Source organism: Homo sapiens, chromosome 22, assembly GCF_000001405.40.
Source record: "Homo sapiens chromosome 22, GRCh38.p14 Primary Assembly".
In the NCBI taxonomy this organism is placed as follows: Eukaryota; Metazoa; Chordata; class Mammalia; order Primates; family Hominidae; genus Homo; species Homo sapiens.
The window spans coordinates 38,035,957-38,051,482 of NC_000022.11; the positions used below are offsets into that span (position 1 = coordinate 38,035,957).

The 15,526-nt window shown below is 53.4% G+C and overlaps 1 protein-coding gene across 3 annotated transcripts in view, besides 6 other annotated features; it reads left to right on the forward strand.

Moving 5' to 3' along the window:
• The window catches only part of POLR2F (RNA polymerase II, I and III subunit F), an 88,253-nt gene extending 82,294 nt beyond the window's left edge, over nt 1-5,959 (forward strand). For all 3 annotated transcript variants that reach the window (NM_001363825.1, NM_001301130.2, NM_001301131.2), the window contains one exon: nt 5,112-5,959. Coding sequence is in view for 2 of the 3 variants with exons in the window: in NM_001301130.2 (NP_001288059.1) it covers nt 5,112-5,136 (25 nt within the window). In the remaining variant the exon portion in view is untranslated. The remainder of the gene's footprint in view (nt 1-5,111) is intronic.
• Nucleotides 6,334-6,833: an enhancer, noted in NCBI's record as "H3K4me1 hESC enhancer chr22:38438297-38438796 (GRCh37/hg19 assembly coordinates)". NCBI's record gives its function as "activates a minimal SCP1, AML or CMV promoter by ChIP-STARR-seq in naive H9 embryonic stem cells {active_cell/tissue: H9 hESC(naive)}" and the evidence as "EXISTENCE:reporter gene assay evidence [ECO:0000049][PMID:30033119]".
• Nucleotides 9,940-10,441: an enhancer, noted in NCBI's record as "H3K4me1 hESC enhancer chr22:38441903-38442404 (GRCh37/hg19 assembly coordinates)". NCBI's record gives its function as "activates a minimal SCP1, AML or CMV promoter by ChIP-STARR-seq in primed H9 embryonic stem cells {active_cell/tissue: H9 hESC(primed)}" and the evidence as "EXISTENCE:reporter gene assay evidence [ECO:0000049][PMID:30033119]".
• Nucleotides 9,940-10,916: a biological region, named in NCBI's record as "VISTA enhancer hs492".
• Nucleotides 10,177-10,916: an enhancer, noted in NCBI's record as "VISTA enhancer hs492". NCBI's record gives its function as "enhancer in: hindbrain (rhombencephalon)[4/5] | cranial nerve[4/5]" and the evidence as "EXISTENCE:transgenic organism evidence [ECO:0001131][PMID:17130149]".
• Nucleotides 14,479-14,979: an enhancer, noted in NCBI's record as "H3K4me1 hESC enhancer chr22:38446442-38446942 (GRCh37/hg19 assembly coordinates)". NCBI's record gives its function as "activates a minimal SCP1, AML or CMV promoter by ChIP-STARR-seq in naive H9 embryonic stem cells {active_cell/tissue: H9 hESC(naive)}" and the evidence as "EXISTENCE:reporter gene assay evidence [ECO:0000049][PMID:30033119]".
• Nucleotides 14,980-15,480: an enhancer, noted in NCBI's record as "H3K4me1 hESC enhancer chr22:38446943-38447443 (GRCh37/hg19 assembly coordinates)". NCBI's record gives its function as "activates a minimal SCP1, AML or CMV promoter by ChIP-STARR-seq in naive H9 embryonic stem cells {active_cell/tissue: H9 hESC(naive)}" and the evidence as "EXISTENCE:reporter gene assay evidence [ECO:0000049][PMID:30033119]".

Sequence of the window (15,526 nt, forward strand, 5' to 3'; positions counted from 1 at the left end):
GAGGCACTGAGCCCCTGCTTTTCTTTTTTTTTTTTTTGAGACAGAGTCTCGATCTGTTGCGCAGGCTGGAGTGCAGTGGCAGGATCTTGGCTCAATGCAACCTCCGCCTCCCGGGTTCAAGCAATTCTCCTGCCTCAGCCTCCCAAGTAGCTGGGATTACAGGCGTCTGCCACTGCACCTGGCTAAGTTTTTGTATTTTTAGTAGAGACGGGGTTTTGCCATGTTGACCAGGCTGGTCTCGAGCCCCTGACCTCAGGTGATCCACCTGCCTCAGCCTCCCAAAGTGCTGGGATTACAGGTGTGAGCCACCGCACCCAGCCGAGCCCCTGCTTTTCTAGGCCATTTGCTGATGTCACGGCACCATGAGGCTGGTGGGGCAGGGAATGTCCTCAGAGTCCTTTGAGAAGCTTTAAAAATTCCCCGAAGGAGAGGCTTCCTTCTGTGCAACCAGGAAGTCCACAGGCAACTTTCCCCTTCAGGGGCCTGGAAGCCCCCATTAGTGAACCGCCCTCATGGGCAAGGCTGCTCTCCTTAGGAACCTGTCCTAGAGGAGCAGGCCCATTCTTAGCACATACTAGATGCTCAGTAAACACTTACTGAAAGAATGATTTGGATCTCATTTAGGAGGGGTGGGCAACCGGGGAGGAGTGGCTGCAAGGGATGGGAGACGGGGTAAGGAGGGCTGCGGCCAAGAACTGTGGGTCTCTCAGTTTCTGACCTTGACCTCCAGAGAGTCCTGTTGCGATGGAGTTCAGACCACACCATCCCCTGCTTAAAGCCCCAACGGGCCCCTCATGCCTAGCCTTCCCCCAGCGTTCAGAGCTGGGCCCTCCAACCCCACGTGTCTGACTCCTTTTCCCACACACTGGCCTCCTGGCTGTTCCTAAACTCAACAGCACATTCCCTCTCAGGCCTTTTGTGCTGTTGCCACCGGCTGGAACATTCTTTCCCCAGACATCCTTCCTCTCTTCTTTCAGATCTTTGTCAAAGGTCATACTCTTGCAGGGGTCTTCTCTGACCACCATGTCTAACATAACACCCCTCCCATCTCTCTTCACGTTTACCCTGCTTTGTTTTTTATTCTGGAACTCATGGCTGCCTGATGTTAGCTTGTAGGTTTACTTGTATACTATGCATCTTCCTGAGGAGAGAGGAGAATATCTGCTCCGTGAGGGTAAGCTGGTCTGTTATGTCCACTGCTGTAGCCCCAGAGCTGGGCACATGGCCACTGCTCAATCAGTGTTTGTGGAAGGAAGGAAGGACTGACCTTTTTATTCTGCTAATGAGCAACCTTATGTTATGTTATGTTATGTTATGTTATGTCATGTTATTTTTGAGACAAGGTGTCACTCTGTCTTCCAGGCCAGAGTGCAGTGGCGCAATCTTGGCTCACTGCAGCCTTGAACTCCTGGGCTCAAGCGATCCTCCCGCCTCAGCCTCTAGAGTAGCTGGGACTACAGGTGCACACCACCATGCTCGGCTATTTTTTTTTTTTTTTTGTAGAGATGGGGATCTTGCTATGTTGCCCAGGCTGGTCTTGAACTCTTGGCCTCAAGCAGTCCTCTGCTTTGGTCTCCCAAAGTGCTGGGAATGCAGCTGTGAGCCACTTCCTGGCCAATGCCTGGCCTCTTCCTATCTCCTTTTTTTTTTTTTTGAGACGGAGTCTCCCTCTGTTGCCCAGGCTGGAGTGCAGTGGCACCATCTCAGCTCACTGCAACCTCCACCTCCCGGGTTCACGCGATTCTCCAGCCTCAGCCTCCTGAGTAGCTGGGACTACAGGCACGTGCCACCATTCCTGGCTAATTTTTGTATTTTTAGTAGAGATGAGGTTTCACCACGTTGGCCAGGATAGTCTTGATCTCCTGACCTCGTGATCCACCCACCTCGGCCTCCCAACTCTTCCTATCCTTTGTTCATGGAGTGCCTCCTATGTGTGGCCCTGTGTGAGGTGCTTTTTGAATAAGTAGCCTCAGCAGAGAGACAGCAGCTCACTTCATGCAGGTTGGCCGGAGGTAGCAAGGGTCATCAAGTCAGCGTGTGGGAAGTACCCTAAGCACAGTAGGTGCTCATGAACAGTAGCTTCTTTTAGAACAACTTGCCTATTATCAGATGGCCTCTCTGGGAGCCTGAGAGCCAGTGTTGGGGGGTAGAAGGTGGGGGAAGGGGAGAAAGCTGGGGTGGGGAAAGAAAAAATGTGATTAAATTTTAGGAAAAACGTCCTGAAAGGCAAACTGTGCAAAGATGGAAGGGACAAGCTCCCTGTCAGTATCAGGAGGCCAATGGAGCCCTGGTGGCCCTGGAACCAGGACCAGCTTTGGGACCTGAAGCCAGAGGATGTGAGGATTCAGAGGGCGTCCTCTTGAGGTTAGGGTGGGCCAGGCCCCAGAGCTTGGAGCAAGCAGCTTGGGGGAAAGGACCAGGCCGGGCCCAGGCAGGTGGAAGCCATGGCTCTGGCCGGGTCACAGGGCGGCTGGGGTTTGACCTGGCGGCCATGATGGGCTCTGGACCCAGGAGCCACCCGGGCACAGGATGGGACGGGTTGAGAGATTGGTCGTCCAGGCGTTGAGTGTGCCCTCGCTCCTCCCCACCTTCCGCCGTGGCCTTGAGCCCCTTGCGCCCGCGCCCATGGGGTTAAATCTCTCCCTGTCTCTCTCTGCTCCAAGTTGTTTTCCAAGTGAGGCAGAGAATGGTTCTCTTGTTACCAACATGGCTTCTGGGCATTGGGTAATGCGCTCCCTCTTCTCCCGCAGCGCCACAAAGGGACCTTTTGTTCCCCTCCCTGCCCCTCTCGCTGGCTCTTCCCGGCCCCCCACCCACCCAAACTCCCTCCTCCCCCCGCCGGCGCCCGCACCCCGGGGCTGCGCGCTGACCGTGGCGGCCGCGGCGCCCTCCCTCTCCCAGCGCCTGCACTGGCGGCCGCCATCTTGCGAGCGGCCCTCAGGGCGGCCTGGGCTTTCCCAGGGTTCTCGGGGCCGGGGCAGTCGTAGGGGGCGGCTGGGGCTCCACAGGACGTTCGTGACCCACCTTGCGCCCCCCAGGGAGTGGCAGGACCCTCCCGTCCCCAGCCTCCGCGCCAGGCCTCGTCCCTGCATGGGACAAGAGGCAGCCCTCCGCCATTTCCCGCGGCCCTTGCCTCCCGGGAGCGGCTCCCCTCTGACGACTGAGTGGACTGCGCTTGAGGGGGCCGCCGCTGGGAACCAGCCCCTCCAGAAAGAGCCGTCTCTGCACCCGCTCCCACCCGTGGGAAGCACCAGATGGGGCTGTCTCCCGAGACAAAGCCTAAAACCAAATGTACCGGAATTTTTGGAAACTGAAACACAACTTGTCCTAGATAGGAATGTCAGGAAGCCAGCGAGAGAATGAAGAGTCTGCCGTCCGGGGACACAATTTCTGTCCACTGTCCCTGCCCACGTCCCCTCACAGCCCTGCAAGGTGGGTGGGGACGGCTGATGATGCCATTTTCAGATGAGGAAACTGAGGCACAGAGAGGCTCCACAGCCAGGACTGGGCGCTCATCCAGTTGACTCCAGGGCAGATCCTCTCTTCCCAGGGCAGCCACCCCCGCCTTGTGAGAGCCGGTGCCCGGGGGAGGGGAAGGATGGAGACCTGGGCAGTTCACCCAGGCCCAGGAGCCAGAGCCCTGGCAGGTTGTACGCAGCTGCTCCCAAGAGGCACCCCTTCCACCCCTGCACCAGCCCTGCCTCCACAGAGGCGCAAAGGAAGCAAAGGCACTGCTGGCGAAGAACCTTGGCATTCCAGCCGCGCACAGACACCCAGAGAGGAAACCCGAGCACCCGGAACTGGACGGGGTGGCGGGCAGGGGCAGGGCGAGGGCCATTGAGTTCAGCGAGACCCTGGCGGCCCTCAAGGAAGACAGGCAAATCAGTGAAGAGCCCCTGTGCTGCAAGAGGGGGCCTGGGCTACCCAGGAGCGCCTAACCTGAAGTTGGGAAAGGAAGGCTTCCTGGAGGAGGTGACTGTGAATAAAGTCTCAAGAGACAGTAAAAGTTCTGCAGGCAATGAAAATGAGAAATGGAGTCAGGTGTGGTGGCTCACACCTGTAGTCCCAGCACTTTAGTAGGGTGAGGTGGGAGGATCACTTGAGGCCAAGGAGTTGGAGACCAGCTTGGGCAACATAGGGAGACTCTGTCTCTACAAAAAGATTAAAAAATTAGCTAATCATGGTGGTGTATGCCTGTGGTCCCAGTGGTCCCAGCTACTTCGAAGGCTGAGGCCAGAGGATCACTTGAACCTGTGAGGTCAAAGCTGCAGTGAGCCGAGATCACACCATGGCACCCCAGCCTGGGGGCCAGTGAGACCCTGTCTCAAAAAAAAAAAAAAAAAAAAAAAGAAATTGAGAAAAGGGTAGGAAAGCAGATGTGAATGGCAAAACTGGTGGGGAGAGGCACCCCAGGCCATGGGCTGGAGCAGAGGGCCTGGCAGGGGTGGTGGGAGAGGCAGCAGGGGGAAGAGCAGTCAGCAAAGTGGCTACAGAGGTCAGCAGGGAGCTCCTGAGGACCAAGGGTGGCCTGGGAAGGTCTGGGGACTAGATCCTGAGGGCAGTGGGGTGGTCACTGTAGGATTTCAAGGGAGTCAGATTTGTGTTCTAGAAAGGTTGTCACCATATGGCCTGACCATATGCCAGTCTGGTTCATTACTGTTTTCCTAGCACCTAGCTCAGTGCCAGCACACAGTAGATGTTCAGTAAATGCTTTGAATCAATACACAGATGCCAGCGGTGTATCCAGAGGCAATGGTTAACTCCTGTGGGGGTCCTTCAGCTTCAGTTTCCTCCTTTGTGAACGAGGGCACTGGCACCTGCCTGGTGGGCATGTTGTGATGGTGAAGGGAGCATGGCAGTTTGGGCTTGCTGTCCTGCACACGGTCAGCGCTCTGTAATGGCAGCTTTTATAAAACGTGTGGAGGATGTGCCAAGGGGAACATGGGGGCAAGGACCCTGGACAGGAGTGGTCAAGTCAGCCAGAGGAGAGAGAATAATGATGACAACAGTGACGTTGATCAAAGGCTGAAGTTCTTCATGTATTTCATTCATGTCATCCTCAACACAGTGAAGGAAGACGGCACCGTAGTTATCCCTGTGTTATTTTCCAGGAGGCGGCGGCTCAGAGAGGAGTGACTCGCCTGAAGCCCCGTGAACAATGCATGGTGGACGGAAGTACATGGAATGCCAGAGCCAGGCTGGTGACTAGTGCTGGTGGTGGGGACTGGTCAAGGCGGCCGCCAGGGAAGGGATGTGAGGACACGGTCTAGACTGATGGACCAGATGGCGGGGGCAGGCACAGGGGGAGGGAGGTTTCCAGGACACCCCTCAGTTTCTGGCCCAGGTGACCAGGTGGAAGGTCATTCCATCTCCTGAGTGAGGGACACAGCAGGACAGACAGGCTTGGGGAGGGACTGTTGGGATGTCTGGAGTCTAGGAGAGGATCCAGGCGGGGGATGGAGGGGAGGGCGGAATGAGCTCATGGGGCAAGTGGAAGGCTTGTGGGCGGTGGAAAAGCTCCAGCCCCCGGACACCTAGCCAAGGTCAAGTAATAACGACAGTAGACGTTACATAGCCTTGACTCTGTACAGACCTCATCCTGCATCCTTACGTTAACTCATTGAACCCTCCCAACCATTATCAAATTGGAGGTACCATTATCACCCCCATTTTATAGTTGGGGAAACTGAGGCAAGAGACATTAAGTCTGCAATATTGGAATAGGCAAATCTGTAGAGAAAGGAATGTGGGTGAGTGGTGGGCTGGGGCTGGGGGCTGGGAAGGATCATGGCTAACGGGCACAGGCTTTCTTTTTTGGGTGATGAAAATATTCTAAAATGACTGTGAAAATATTGCACAACTCTGTGAACATGTGAAAACCCACTGAACTGTATGCTCTAACTGTATGAATTGTATGGTATTTGAATTTCACCTCAATAAAGCTGTTATCAAAAAGCAAGAGAGAGAGAAAGAGAATATTTGTACTTGGACATTTTTGCCCCTGGGTGGAGATTACTCCACCTCAGGAAGCAGTAAACCCCAACCACCAATTTTTGGAGGCTTGCTGCATATGACTTTGGGGAGGAGTTGGGGAAGGATGGGGTAGGATAGTGTCTCAACTGCTCTTCCTGGAGGAACGAGGGCCCAGCCAGCAGATCACCCAGAAGTTTGGTGCCCCAGCCCCTCCTAGAGGAACCCTGGTGTCTGCTTGGGTCCAGGAGCACACAGTGGCTGCCTTCCTCCGGGTCCTCCTGGTCCCTGCAGGTCATGGGCTGGAGGCCCCGGAGGATCTCTGTGATGGTCACACTTGGCTCCTCCCTCCACAACCCAACTGAGGCCGGGAGGCCCAGGGTGCCCTGGTGCCCAGGTGCCCAGGGGCTGTGACTGACCCATGGCCTGTGCCAGGATGGGCACTGTGAAGAGGCTCCAGGGACCCCCTGGGTGTGAGCCAGTGGGAGAATGAAAAGAGGAAGGAAGAAGTCTGCAGGCCTGCCCCACCCACCTGGAGGGGTCAGAGAAGGAGCCGCACTGTCCAGGAGGGTGGGGTGGCCAGCAAAGTGGCCTGGAGAGACGAGGAGGAGAGGGTTTGGGAGAGTGCCTTCCCATGCCATGGCACCTTCTCCAGAGCAGGGTCACAAGCATTCAGGAGGGAAGGAAGTGCAGACAGCTAGTAGACAGTTCTTTGGGGAAGCTGGGCTGGGAAGGGAGAAGGAGTAGAGCAATAGCTGTTCTTATTTTCTGGGCTGAGAGGAAGGAATGGGTAGAGGGGAGAAGAGCTGCTGACCACACAGAAGAGGGCTGGGCCAGTGGGAGAGGGGCTCCTGCAGAGATGGAGGGTTCTAGAGCTGGGTGGGGGCCCCCCACTCCCAGGCGGGCAGCAGGTGGGGTGAGGACTGAGAGCTGCAAAGCTGGTGGCCGGAGGGGAGGCCAAGGGGCCCTGTCCAATGGCCTCTCCTCTCTGCAATAGAGGAGGGGTGTCAGGAGTGTAGGGCTTCAGGGGGTTTACTGTCTCTACTGAAGGTCCCAGAAGAAGGAAGCCTTGGGGACCAGAAAGGGTGGGTGGTGCTGGGTGAGGGCCCACATGCCACTGCTGGGCTGTGTGGAAGGTCCCGTCTGAAACAGGGTTGTTCTTTCTCTTCTGAGAGCTCCGAGTGCTGGCCATGTGCCCCTGGCCTGGGGAGCAAGGGGCCTGTCCTCTGTGGGTTTATTTACAGCTTTTCAGAGGTGCCCCTGCCTGGTCCTGGGCAACTTGTCATCAGCGCACCTGGTGTGGATACTGAGGAGAACTGAGAGAGGCTAGGTAGCTCCCGGTGCTTCCCCAGGCCCCCAGCCCCATCCCTCAGCTGAGGACTGCACCTTCCTCTCCCACCCAGGCTGTACCTGTCACTGCCCTCCACTCCACCAGGCTCAGCACACAGTAGGGCCTTAGTCAGTTTGCCCTTATGCCTGTATGCTCTGGGCAGATTCAAAGCACTTTCCCCTAATTACCCACAGGGCGCCATCTCTCCACCACTACCCCTATGCACACACACTCCCATTGGGGCTGGGGAGAGTTCCCCCGACCCTGGACCCAAATCAGGCACTTCGACCTGAGCGAGCCCCTCCTGTGCCTCATTGACCCACTCGAAGTCCATTTATTCTTCCTTTTGACACAGTCCTGATGCCTTGGGTGCTTCCATTTCCTAGGCTGGAGGTGAATTAGAAAGATGCATGGGAGGAGAGAGGGCCCAGGAAGAGAGAAGACAGGTGGTAAGTTGGTTTTGTCGATAACATTTGCAGCCAAATTTCAAGGGAGGCCCTAGAGCCACTGTATAACACAGACGTGACACCTATGGGGCGCTTGTTGAAGGACACGCGGATGCTCTGCTGGTTTGGTGGCTGTGATGACTTCATGCAAATGGAAGCTACATTTGTATGACACTTTGTTAAAGCAAATTAGGTATAAATAAAGATTCATGCCCAAAGATCTGTATTGCGATGTGTCTAATTGTGAATAACTGGCCACAACCTTAATCAACAGTAGAGGATTACGGCCAGGCGCAGTGGCTCATGCCTGCAATCCCAGCACTTTGGGAGGCCGAGGCGGCCGGATCACCTGAGGTCATGAGTTCAAGACCAGCCTGGCCAACATGGTGAAACCCCGTCTCTACTAAAAATACAAAAATTAGCCGGGCGTGGTGGCGGGTGCCTGTAATCCCAGCTACTAGGGAGGCTGAGGCACAAAATTCGCTTGAACCCGTTAGGCGGAGGTTGCAGTGAGCCAAGATCATACCACTGCACTCCAGCCTGGGTCAGAGAGCAGGACTCTGTCTCAAAAAAACAAAAACAAAACACAAACCAGTAGAGGATTGGTAAAGTGCATCATAGCACAATCCTGAGACAGAATATGACACAGCCACTAAAAATGATGCCTATGAGGATTTTTTTTTTTTGTAGCACCAGGAGGAACTTAGGGCCACAAGTGTGTTTGAAGGGTCAATGGTCAATGCCACACAAGTAACAAACTAACTGCCGAGTCTAAACATCTTAACATCTTACTTCTTTTTTTTTTTTTTTTTTTTTTTTTTTGAGGCTGAGGTCTCACTCTGCTGCCAGGCTGGAGTACAGTGGCACGATCTTGGCTCACTGCAACCTCCGCTTCCCGTGTTCAAGTGATTCTCCTGCCTCAGCCTCCCAAGTAGCTGGGATTACAGGCGCCTGCCGCCATGCCCAGCTAACTTTTGTATTTTTAGTAGAGACGGGGTTTCACCATGTTGGCCAGGATGGTCTCGATCTCTTGACCTTGTGATCCGCCTGCCTCGGCCTCCCAAAGTGCTGAGATTATAGGCGTGAGCCACCGTGCCCAGCCCTTTTTTTTTTTTTGAGACAGAGTTTCGCTGTGACGCCCAGGCTGGAGTGCAGTGGCGCGATCTCGGCTTACTGCAACCTCTGCTTCCCGGGTTCAAGCGATTCTCTTGCCTCAGCCTCCTGAGTAGCTGGGATTACAGGCCCATGCCATCATGCCCAGCTAATTTTTGTATTTTCAGTAGAGACAGGGTTTCACTATGTTGGCCAGGCTGGTCTCGAACTCCTGACCTCAGGTGATCTGCCTGCCTTGGCCTGCCGAAGTGCTGGGATTACAGGCGTGAGCCACCGGGCCTGGCCAACATCTTACTTCTTAACACGATATGTGAGGCCCTGGAAAACCTGGCCTCTGCTGGCCTCCTTAGCCTCCTCCCTCACTGCTGAACTGCTGTGATTCTCACAGCTGGTTTTAGTCTATGCCTTTGCATATGCTGTTCCCTCTGCCTGGAATACCTTTCCCTGCTGTCCCCATCTACTTTGGTCTAACTTCTACTCCCCCTTTAAGAATCAGCCCCACAGGAAGATTGCTTGAGCCTAAGAGTTTGAGACCAGCCTGGGCAATGTAGTGAGACCTCATCTCTCCAAAAAAATTAAAAAATTAACTGGGTGTGGTGGCACACACCTGTGGTCTCAGCTACTTGGGGGGTTGAAGTGGGAAGATTGCTTGAGCCTGGGAGGTCAAGCCTGTAGTGAGCCGATATTGTGCCACTGAACTCCAGTATGGGAGACAGAGCAAGACTTTTTCTCAAAAATAAATAAATAATAAAAAATAAGGCCAGACACGGTGGCTCATGCCTGTAATCCCAGCACTTTGGGAGGCTGAGGTGGGCAGATCATCTGAGGTCAGGAGTTTGAGACCAGCCTGGCCAACATGGTGAAACCCGTCTCTACTAAAAATACAAAAAATTGGCCGGGCGTGGTGGTAGCTACGTAGGAGGCTGGAGGCAGGAGAATCGCTGGAACCCAGGAGGCAGAGGTTGCAGTGAGCTGAGATTGTGCCACTGCACTGCAGCCTGGGTGACAGAACGAGACTCTGTCTCAAAAAAAAAAAGAAAAAGAAAAAATAATCAGCCCCAGCATCTTCTCCTCCTGGAAGCCTCCCTGGCTTGCTGGCTCGGCTGGGGTTCCCTTTTCTGGTACCCCCTATTCCTCCGTTATAATTTTTGGTTGACATGCTGATCCTCCACTTCCAGCCTGTGAGTCCCTCGAGGGAGAGACTGTGTCTGCTTTGCCTCCATGTCCCCGTGCTGGCCCCATCCTGGCACATCTGGGCAGGACGTCACACGACCTGGTTCTATTCCTGGTCATGTTCCTGCCCAAGCCACCCCTTCGGTTTCCCCATCCAAAATGTGGGAGAGCTGGGCTTCGCCAGGTCACTTCTGAGGGTACAATTGTCCAGAAGATGGACAGGGCTGGCGTGGCCCAGGCCTGTGCCAGGCGCCCAAGATTGATGGTTGAGGGCCATGGGCAGTTCCCTCGGTCAGCAGCCCCCTCCGTGGCTCCCTGTAGCCCCATGTAGAGAATGGGGTGGGTGTAGAGAGGGGGCGGAGGGCTGCATGCCAGGGCCTCAGCAGACCAGACCCCACCAAAGAGGCTAGCCTGGCACCCCCCAGCAGGAAGGTGGCCCCCAATGGTTATCAAAGGCCAGCGGGGCCCCTCCCTCCAAGGATGAAGGGGTGTCCCTGACAAGCAGGGCCATCCGTCAGCCCTGGGCACAATGGGGTCATTAACCCCTGACCCCAGCTCCTTTTTAGCCACTTCCTCTGAGGGCTGAGTGTGTGGGGCTGAGAAGAACAGAGCCTCGCTTTTCAGCGAGGGGCTGAGGAGCAATGGCTGCTTGGCTGGTCCCAGGCTCTCTAGCTCCCAACCCCTGAGGCTCCCTCGGAGGCCTGGGGGAGCCTCCCACTCTCTGTCCCCTGAGAGGGCACCCCCTTGGCCAACCACCCTCAAGCCAAAGCAGTGTGTATGGGGAGGGACAGATAGAGACCCTGAGAAAGAGACAGAGACCGGGAGAGAGGGAAGCCGAGGTGGGCAGATCATCAGAGACAGACACTTGAGACCTGAGACGGCTCCTTTCCCTTTACAAAGTGCACTCACAGGAAAATCATAGACCAACCCTGCTTGTGAAATTAGATGTGAGAATCCTAAATAAAAGATTAGCCAAACAGATATATGCATCATGCCCAAACTGAGTTTATCTTAGAAATGTAAGGATCATTTAACATTTGAAAAATCTATTAGTGAATTTATCACATTAATAAATTAAGGGAGAAAAGTCATATGATCATCTTGGCACTGGAAATCAAGGTCAACATCTACTTAAGATAGAAATGTTTTAGCAAACTGGAGATAGAAAGGAATTTCCTTAGGCTGGGCATGGTGGCTCCCAGCACTTCGGGAGGCCAAGGCAGATAAATCGCTTGAGCCCAGGGGTTCGAGACCAGCCTGGGCAACACAGTGAAACCCTGTCTCTACAAAAAATACAAGTTTAACCGGGCCTGTTGGTGTGCGCCTGTAATCCCAGCTACTTGGAAGGCTGAGGTAGGAGGGTCGATTGAGCCCAGGAGTTTGAGACCAGCCTGGGCAACATAGTGAGACTGTGTCTCAAAAAAAAGAGAAAGAAACTTCCTTAAACTGATAAAAATTATCCACAAAACCCAGCACAAACACAGTTCTTAAAGGGGTAATGGACACATTTCTTAAAATCAGGGATGGGTTTGCCCCTCATCCATGAGTTGATTCAACATTGCACCTGAGGTCCTAGCCTGGAAAGTAGGCATGAAGAAAAGGGATAAGGATTGGAAAAGAAAAGCAAAACTGGTATTATTTATAAGTGGTATGACTGTCTATTCATAGAAAACCCCAAATCATCTAACTGGCAAAGTATTAGAACTATGAATGAAATTTAGCAGAGAAAGGATATTCCTACATCAAATCAATATCAATAACTAATTATAGGGTGCGGTGGCTCACGCCTGTAATCCTAGCACTTTGGGAGACCGAGGCAGGTGGATCACGTGAGGTCAGGAGTTCGGGACCAGCCTGGCCAACACGGTGAAACCCCGTCTCTACTAAAAATACAAAAGTTAGCCGGGCGTGGTGGTGGGTGCCTGTAATCCCAGCTACTCAGGAGGCTGAGGCAGGAGAATCACTTGAACCCGAGAGGTGGAGGTTGTAGTGAGCCGAGATCGCGCCACTGTACTCCAGCCTGAGCGACAGAGCAAGACTCCATCTCAAACAAAACAAAACAAAACAAACAAAAAAACTAATTAGAGCTAAAACACCGATAACCCTTGAAAACATGATCCTCAGCAAAAGAAGCCAGAGGTAAAAGGTCACATATGAAGTGATTCCATTTATATGAAATGCCCAGAATAGACAAATCTATAGTGACAGAGAGTATATTAGTAGCTTCGGGGAGCTGGGGAGAGGAGGGCTTGGGGAGTGACTATGAATGGGTTAAGTTTTCTTTTGGTATGATGAAAATGTTCTGGAATTAGATAGCAGTGATGGTTGTATATAACCTTGAGAATATACAAAAAACCACTGAATCGTACACTTTAAAATGATGAATTTTTATGGTATGTAAATTGTATCTCAAGAAAAAAGTAATTGCATTTATAAACATCACAGCTGACAACATATAATTTTAAAAAATCTTCCATTTACAATAATAACAAAAATTACATCTAACGAAATATTTATGGTGATAAACCTAAAATGCTATTGAGGTACAGGCACACTGAAAAATGGCTTGGCAGTTTCTTTCTTTCTTTTTTTTTTTTTGAGATGTAGTCTCACTCTATCGCCCAGGCTGGAGTGCAGTGGCATGATCCCAGGTCCAAGTGATTCTCGTGCCTCAGCCTCCTGAGTAGCTGGGATTGCAGGTGCGTGCCACCATGCCCAACTAATTTTTTTTTTAAGACAGGGTCTTGCTCTGTTGCCCAGGCTGGAGTGCAATGGTGCGATCTTGGCTCACTGCAACCTCCGCCTCCCAGGTCCAAGCAATTTTCCTGTCTCAGCCTCCCAAGTAGCTGGGATTACAGGCATGCGCCACCACGTCCAGCTAATTTTTTGTATTTTAATAGAGATGGGGTTTCATCATGTTGTCCTGGCTGGTCTCGAACTCCTGAGCTCAGGCAATCCGCCCTCCTCAGCCTTCCAAAGTGCTAGGATTACAGGCGGGAGCCACTGCACCCCGCCCAGCTAATTTTTGTATTTTAAGTAGGGACAGAGTGTCACCATGTTGGCCAGGCTGGTCTCAAACTCCTGACCTCAAGCGATCTGCCTGCCTTGGCCTCCTAAAGTGCTGGGATTACAGGGGTGAGCCACCACGCCTGGTCAGTTCTGTATCTTAATTGTGATGGTGGCTACTTGAATCTACTCATGATGAAATTGCATAGAACCACACACACACACACAGAGGCACTTGTACACACATACACATGCACACACAGGCATACACACGTGTGCACACACACCTACCCGAATGCATGCAGAACTAGCGAACTCTGAATAAAGTTCTGTGGTCAAGTACTCTAGCTATATAAGACGTTACCTTTGGGGGAAGTTGGGAAAAGGGTACCTGGGACCCTTCTGTACTATTTTTGCAACTTCATGTGAGTCTAAAATTATTTGAAAATAAAAACATAGACAAAAAATGTTATTGGAAGACATTAAAGAAGATCCTCAATATTTGCTTCACCATAAGGAAAGCTGAGATGGAGGAAGGGGTGCAGCATGGGCAGGGTTGTGGCTGAAAATGGAGCGGCGGTGAGGGATCACTGGGCAACTTGGTGTTAGGTACAAAAAGCGTCATTACCCTCTTCTCTCTAATTTTGTACTTTAAAAAATTCCCTTAATAAGAAATAAAAGATGTAAGTGAATGCAAAGAGACAGCTATTAAGTTGCATAGAGAGATTCAGTATAAACATGTTCATTCTCCCCAAATTAATGTCAGTTCAACTCAGTCCTGATCAAAACCTGACAGGCTTTCTGATGGAGCTAATCAAGCTGATTCCAAAAATCAGTGAGAAAGAGCAAAGCAGTAAGAATAGCTGAGACACTCCTACAGAACGAGGTGGGACACCTGCCCTACCCACTATCAAGGCCAGGCGTACAGCTACGGTCTTTAGGCCAGTCTGGGATTTATCACTGCAGAGGCGGCCACCGAGACCCATGGGACAAAGAGCCCGGCACAGACCAACGCACACAGGGATACTGAAGGTCGGGGCGTGGCAGGCGAGGAGAAAGGAAGGACCAGGCGCATTCACATCAGTTTCACCTGCTGTCTGTCCTCATCCCTCTCCTCTAGGCTGGCCTTGCTCTTCGCGTCCCAAGACCCCATTCCACACTGAGGTCACTGAGGCTCAGAGGGGGCCAGTGACACCCAAGGTCTTCTGGCTCTGGTCCCCGGCTCTTTCCAAAGTGTGGTCCCACCAGCCTTCCCCGCCTGTGTCTGAATCATGGGCCTCCAACCCACTAAGGTCCCAAAGATTCAGAACCTCTGAGGGAGGGGTGGGGATGGGGTGTTGCAGCATCTACAAGAGAAATAGCTTCCCACTTGAGTTTGAGAACCCTGACCAAGGGAGAGGGAGGAGAGAGAGAGGGCGAGCGCAATGAGCCAGCCACTGTGCTGCCAGGGTGGGGAACAATCAGGCTCTGTCCCTCTCCTCCCCATCCCCCTGGGCTCCCACCAGCTTTCATCACTGACCTAACCCGGGGGCAGGGCACATGGGGGGTGGGGGTGGAGGGGAGGGCAGAGGTCAGCCCATTACACGCCCAGCCGAGCCAGGAATAGAACCACTTTGGGGGTGGCTGGGGGGACTTGGGGCCCCACGGAAGCCCACCTCCCACCTTTGGCTGGAGGCAGCTGACTGGAGGAGGCAGTGGAGAAGAGAGGAGATAGCTGCCCTGTACCCCAAGGGTGGTGAGAGCCAGGGATCCATCAAAGCTAAGAACAGGCTTCCAGAAGGATGCGGATGCCCCTGAGCCACACTAACCCCCTCCCTCGCCTCCACTGCTGCCACCCTAGTGGGAGACACTTTCCTGTCCCAAGAGGAAGGTGACCCTCGTGACCCGCTGTCCTCAGGGCTGGCCCACCCCGCCAGGCCTCCCTTCTGCTGCCCCAACCCAGCTTCCCAGTGGTTCGGCCCCTGGGTCCTGTCCCCACCTTGCTTCAGACTCAGGGGGTGGTGTTCCCATCCCCACCAATGGGCCCCCCTGTCTCCCTCAGCCTGTCTATGGTAGCCAGGGGCCTCCAGGCAAACACAAGTCTGACTGCCCTTTCCCTTCCCGGCTAGAGTCTTCTGTGGCTCCTCAGTGCCAGGCAGATCAAGTCTGGGGTTCTGATGCCAGCACTTGAGGCCTCTGCTATCTCTGGCCACTGCCTGGTATCTGGCCTCCTACTTTTGATGACACAGTTATTCATTCATTTAACAGACAGGTGTTGAGTGTCACCCCATGCTAGCCAGTGTGCTAGGTGCTGGGGACAGAGATGTGACCTGGATGGGCCAGGTTTCTGCCCACAGGGACCTGGCTGTCTGTAGAAAACAGACTAGAGACTGGTTAGCAAGCAAGCGCAGGCCCCATCACCAGCCACTCTGCAGGCATCTGTGACAAGAGGGGGATAAGAACGCAGGACTGGCCCCTGCTGGCTGCACCACCTCTTCTCAGGCCGCTT